This window comes from Homo sapiens, chromosome 12 (genome assembly GCF_000001405.40).
Source record: "Homo sapiens chromosome 12, GRCh38.p14 Primary Assembly".
Classification (NCBI taxonomy): Eukaryota; Metazoa; Chordata; class Mammalia; order Primates; family Hominidae; genus Homo; species Homo sapiens.
In genome coordinates, this window is record NC_000012.12 from 58,465,589 (window position 1) to 58,471,772 (window position 6,184).

The following is a 6,184-nucleotide window of genomic DNA, read 5'->3' on the forward strand; positions in this document are numbered from 1 at the left end:
AGAATGACTCATCTTTTTATGAGAAAGCTTTTATAGAAGCATTCTTATCTTTTAAGAGTATCCTGTGGATAATGTATTGAGCTTGCTCTCATTTTTCCAGAGGATCTAATTAGCAGCAAAAAGGAAATTGCCAGGCAGTGGACTCTGCTCAGTATAAAAAAGTCTCTCCTACAAGACCGAACAATGAGGGATTGGCTGTCCCTAGACTCATATAGGAGAAACCAGAGAAACACGTATGGATGTATTGAAAAGGACATTCATGTGTCAGGTAGAAGCCCAGCCTATGTGACCTCCCAACCCTTTCCAACTCCTGATTCTATCACCAGCCAATTCTTTCAGATTCCCATGCTGCAATGAGGACACCCACTTTCTCTCCCTCTCCCCCCATCTCATTTAAAGGGCAGAAAGACAAATACTGCATTCAAATACTGCAAACCTTTACTTATCCTGGTAAGAACATGGTTTAAGGGGAATTATCATAATTTCAAATAACAAAATACACTTGAGATAAATAAAACACTTTGTATTAGTCCATTCTCTCACTGCTATAAAGAACTACCTGACACTGGGTAATTTTAAAGAAAAGAGGTTTAATTGACTTACAGTTCCACAGACTGTGTAGGAGGCATGGCAGAGGAGGCTTCAGGGAACTTACAATCATGGTGGAAGGGTGAAAGGGAAGCAAGCATGTCTTCACTTGGTGGCAGAAAAGAGAGAGCAAAGGGGGAAGTGCTACATACTTTTAAACAACCAGATCTCATGAGAATCCACTCACTATCACGAGAACACTCACTATTGTGAGAACAGCAAGAGGGAAATCCACCCCTGTGATCCAATCACCTCTCACCAGGTTCCTCCTCCAACAATGAAGATCGTAATTCAACATGAGTCTTGGGTGGGGACACCGAGCCAAACCATATCATTCTGCCTCTGGCTCTGCCCATGTCTTATGTCCTTGTCACATTTGAAAACTAATCATACATTCCTAATAGTCCTCCAGAATCTTAATTCATTCCAGCGTTAACTCAAAAGTCCAAGTCTAAAGTCTCATCTGAGACAAGGCAAGTCTCTTCCAACTATGAGCCTGTAAAATAAAAAACAAGTTAGTTACTTCCAAGATACAATGGGGATACAGGAATTGGGTAAATTATCCAATTCCAAAAGACATAAATTGGCCAAAACATAGGGGCTACAGGCCCCATGCAAGTCCAAAACCCAGCAGAGCAGTCATTAAATCATAAAGCTCCAATATAATCTCCTTTGACTCCATGTCCCACATCCAAGCCACATTGATGCAAGATGTGGGCTCTCAAGGCCTTGGACAGCTCTTTCCTGTGGCTCTGCAGAGTACAGCCCCTGTGGATGCATTCACAGGCTGGTGTTGAGTGCCTGTGGCTTTTCCAGGTGCACAGTGCAAACTGCTTGTAGGGGTCTGGAGGATGGTGGCCCTTTTCTCACAGCTCCACCAGGCAGTACCCAAGGGAGACTCTGTGTGGGAGCTCCAACCCCACATTGCCCCTTTGCACTTCCCTAGTAGAGGTTCACCATGAGGGCTCTGCCCCTGCAGCAGACTTCTGCCTGGATACGCAGGTGTTTCCATACATCCTCTGAAATCTAGGCAGAGGCTCCCAAACTTCAACTCTTGCCTTCTGTACACCTGTAGGTCCAACACCACGTGAAAACTGCCAAGGCTTGTGGTTTATACCCTCTGAAGCAATGGCTCAAGCTGTACTTTTAGCCACAGCTGAAGCTGGAGTGGCTGGGTTGCAGAGTGCCACGTCCCAAGGCTGCGAAGAGCAGCAGAGCCCTGGGACTGGCCCACAAAACCATTTTTACCTCCTAGGTCTCCAGGTCTATGATGAGAAGGGCTGTCACAAAGGTGGCTGAAATGCTCTGGAGGCATTTTCCCCATTGTCTTGGCTATTAACATTCGTCTCTTTTTTACTTATGCAAGTTTCTGTATCCAGCTTGAATTCCTTCCCAGAAAATGGGTTTTTCTTTTCTACCACATGGTCAGACTGCAAGTTCTTCAAACTCTTATGCTCTGCTTCCTTTTTAAATATAAGTTCTAGTTTCAGGCCATTTCTTTGTTTATGCAAATGAGTGTAGGCTTTTAGAAGCAGCCAGGCCACATCTTGAACACTTTGCTGGTTTGAAATTTCTTCCACCAGAGGCTGAGTGTGGTGGCTCACGCATGTAATCCCAGCACTTTGGGAGGCTGAGGTGGGTGGATCACCTGAGGTCAGGAGTTTGAGACCAGCCTGGCCAACATGGCAAAACTCTGTCTCTACTAAAAATACAAAAATTAGCCAGGCATGGTGGCATGTGCCTGTAGTCTCAGCTACACGGGAGGCTGAGTCATGAGAATCGCTTGAACCCAAGAGGAAGAGGTTACAGTGAGCTGAGATCATGCCATTACACTCCAGCCTGGGTGACAGAGTGAGACTCCGTCTCAAAAAAAAAAAAAAAAGAAATTTCTTCCACCAGACACCCTAAATCATCTCTTTCAAGTTCAAAGTTCCACAGATCTCTAGAGCAGGGGCACAATACTGCCAGTCTCTTTGCTAAAGTGTAGCAAGAGTGACCTTTACTCCAGTTCCCACTAAGTTCCTCATCTCCATCTGAGACCACCTCAGCCTGGACTTCACTGCCCATATCACTATCACCATTTTTGTCATAAACATTCAACAAGTCTCTAGAAAGTTCCAAGCCTTTCCTCATTTTCCTGTCTTGTGATTCCTCCAAACTGTTCCAACCTCTGCCCATTACCCAGTTCCAAAGTTGCTTTCACATTTTCAGGTATCTTTATAGCAATGCCTCCACTTCTCTGGTATCAATTTTCTGTACAAGTCTGTTCTCACACTGCTATAAATAACTACCTGAGACTGGGTAATTTTAAAGAAAAGAGGTTTAATTTACTCACAGTTCCACAGGCTGTACAGAAGGCATGGCTGAGGCCTCAGGAAACTTACAGTCATGGCAGAAGTGCAACGGGGAAGCAAGCATGTCTTCACATGTTGGAAGGAGAGAGTGAGTAAAGAGTGAAGTGCTACATACTTTTAAACAACCAGATCTCATGAGGACTCACTCACTCTAATTAGAATAAATGGGGGAAATACAAGTCCATGATCCAATCACCTCTCACAAGGCCCTTCCTCCAAAACTGAAGATCATAATTCAACATGAGATTTGGATGGGGACAGAGAGCCAAACCATATCACACTTCTAAAAATAAATTTTATAGTTCATCAAAATTGAGAAGGCACTTCCAAACCTTGCAGGGCCTTGCATATGTATATAAATACAATATAGCACCATTCTCTACACTGTCCTCTCAACAAAGGAACCCTGTCCCTCCTCCCAGGATGGAGAAGTCCTGCTCCAGTTGGTCAGATTTTGGGGACAATGTTTCCTAAGGAATACAACTGTCAAAAATGAGTAGAGTCCCATGAATGCTTCATCTTCCTCTTCTACCTAAGCAGATATAGCAGTAAATTGGTAAATTTACCATATATATATATACACACACACACATACATATATGTTATATATATGTTACTATATATATATATATAAAAGCATCTGCAGCATTGTATTATAATTTATCTGTTCACTTTTCTTTCCAAATAAGCCACAAAATCCTTTAAAGCAAGGACTTCTATTTATCTCATTCAATTACATTGCCTGGCACACTGGAGGTTCACAGTGAATTAATGAATCAATCTCTTGATTATCACAAATCTTTTGAATTGCATTCTTAGTGCTTTTGCTACAAAACAAGATAACAGAGTTCAATGCAATAGTGTTGACACAAGTATTCATTTTTTAGATCTCTACAACCTAGTTTTTATTTTTCTTTCTATCATGAGTCAAAGAATGAGCCCTCCCACCCCACCATTGAAATCTCAAGTTTATGATCCAATCCTTGCCACTCTTGTGTTTTATTATTGTTGGTAGTTTCTAAAGTTGGCTTTTTTTTGTTTAGGTTTTCCTTGTTATCTGTCAGGTGGAGTGAAATTACTAGCTCAGTTAAGTGTGGGTACATGTAAGTGACTGTGCTGGGCCTGCATAAAAGCTTCAACAACCTTTCCCTGGCACTCTGATAAGTTCTCTGAGGGATGATCAGCTCTGTTCATTTGGTGATGCTATCTGATATTTGATTGGCTAGGTCATTTACACTCTTATCTGGTTTTGTTTGTTTGCATATTCTGCAAGCTTAGCCAGGATCAAACTCTGTGTCAAACCCCTTTAATAATTTAGAATGTTCAATTTACTTCCAGCTTACTATTTGTTTGGGAGTTTTGTGTTTTTCCCCCTAATGACATAATGTAGTTTTCACAGGGGCTGAATGGTCACAGGCTTCCTTCACATCTCTGCAGTCACATATCTTATTGATCCTCATTAGTCATAAACAGGAGGAGATATAGCACTGCAAATTTTCTAAATACATTTGCTTCTGTTTCCTTGTGGGTAGGTGCTGGGATTTGCCATATTACATTTGAGGTTTGGCTCTTTTTCTAGGGGAAACTTTGTTAGCACCTTATACATTGAAATATTATTAGTAATATTAGGTTATCTCTATGTGCTGAGCATGGTGCCCAGTGATGGAATGATAAATGGCAGCAACTATAAATTTTTATGCCCCAAAAGCACTAAACGAGACCCACAAAATTACTCACATAGAATAAAAAATTTAGAGGCAAACCAAGCCAGATTTAATAAGTTAAACAGCCCTCTCTGTGTGTCAGAAAACCTCCTGAGTTTACCAAAAAAGCTTTCTGATAGAAGCAGGCACAACCAGATGAAGGAAAGCACAGAACATCAGAAGATGTGAAACACAGTGACCACTAAGTGACAAAAGAGTAAAATCCCCAAGTCATCATTGCTAGAGAGATGGCTGGTGCTGGTAGGTGAACCACCTATGAAAGAGCTCATTATCAAACCACAGGAAGAGGCACTTTGTGATAGAAGATAAATTTTTACAACAGTGTGAGGAAAGATGGCTATAGACATAGTCAAAAGGGCAGGGTCCACCCTAGGAACACCCCTCCCTCTTTTAGCCATATGCTGAAGGCTTAATACATGGCAAGCCCTAAGCTAAGCAGTCATACATTATGTGATTTAACACATACAAAAACCCTTTGGGGAAGATATTGACGTTGCCATTTTATTGATGAAGAAAAAGAGAAGCTGAGAGGTGAGGTAACTCCCCACAAAGTCCCCATATTAGTAAGTGGTAATGCCAGCCTATAAATCTGAATTTCTCCTTGCAAAATCCACACTCTTCAGTACTATGCCATGCTTCTAGACAAGTAAAGCAAGGAGTTGGCATTCTACAGAGCATATTTGAGAAAACCCCCTAGAACCCAATTTATAGGTATTTTGGATGAACTTTGAGCCTTTAAGATGCAATGAAAAAGAACTTAGCAATTAGAGAATGGAAGTAAGATAGGGAAAGAGAGTCCTGAGCAGCATAAGGCTGAATTCTGTTGATTACTATCAAGGGTCTCATGCCCAGAATTGCAAAATCCAAGTAAGCAAAGGGGCACATTTTCTTAATGCCATCTTCAGAAAGTTTATTTCTGCCTGCAGGGCTAAGCATGATAGAAACACACTTTCTCCCAGCACACAATATTCACACTGCATTAAAAATGGACTGATTCTGAGGAAGCGGGGCTGAGCAGCCTCTGCTGTGCCTCATTCTGCCCCATACAGAGATCCTGCTTTATGACATGGGCTTTAATTTCCCTTTACTCTTATGATGTTTGCTATGACTTTTTTTTTTTTCCAGAGTGATTGCATCATTTATTTTATTTTATTGTATTATTATTATACTTTAAGTTTTAGGGTACATGTGTACAATGTGCAGATTAGTTACATATGTATACATGTGCCATGCTGGTGTGCTGCACCCATTAACTCGTCATTTAGCATTAGGTATATCTCCTAAAGCTATCCCTCCCGCCTCCCCCCACCCCACAACAGTCCCCAGAGTGTGATGTTCCCCTTCCGGTGTCCATGTGTTCTCATTGTTCAATTCCCACCTATAAGTGAGAATATGTGGTGTTTGGTTTTTTGTCCTTGTGATAGTTTACTGAGAATGATGATTTCCAATTTCATTCATGTCCCTACAAAGGACATAAACTCATCATTTTTTATGGCTGCTTAGTATTCTGTGGTGTAT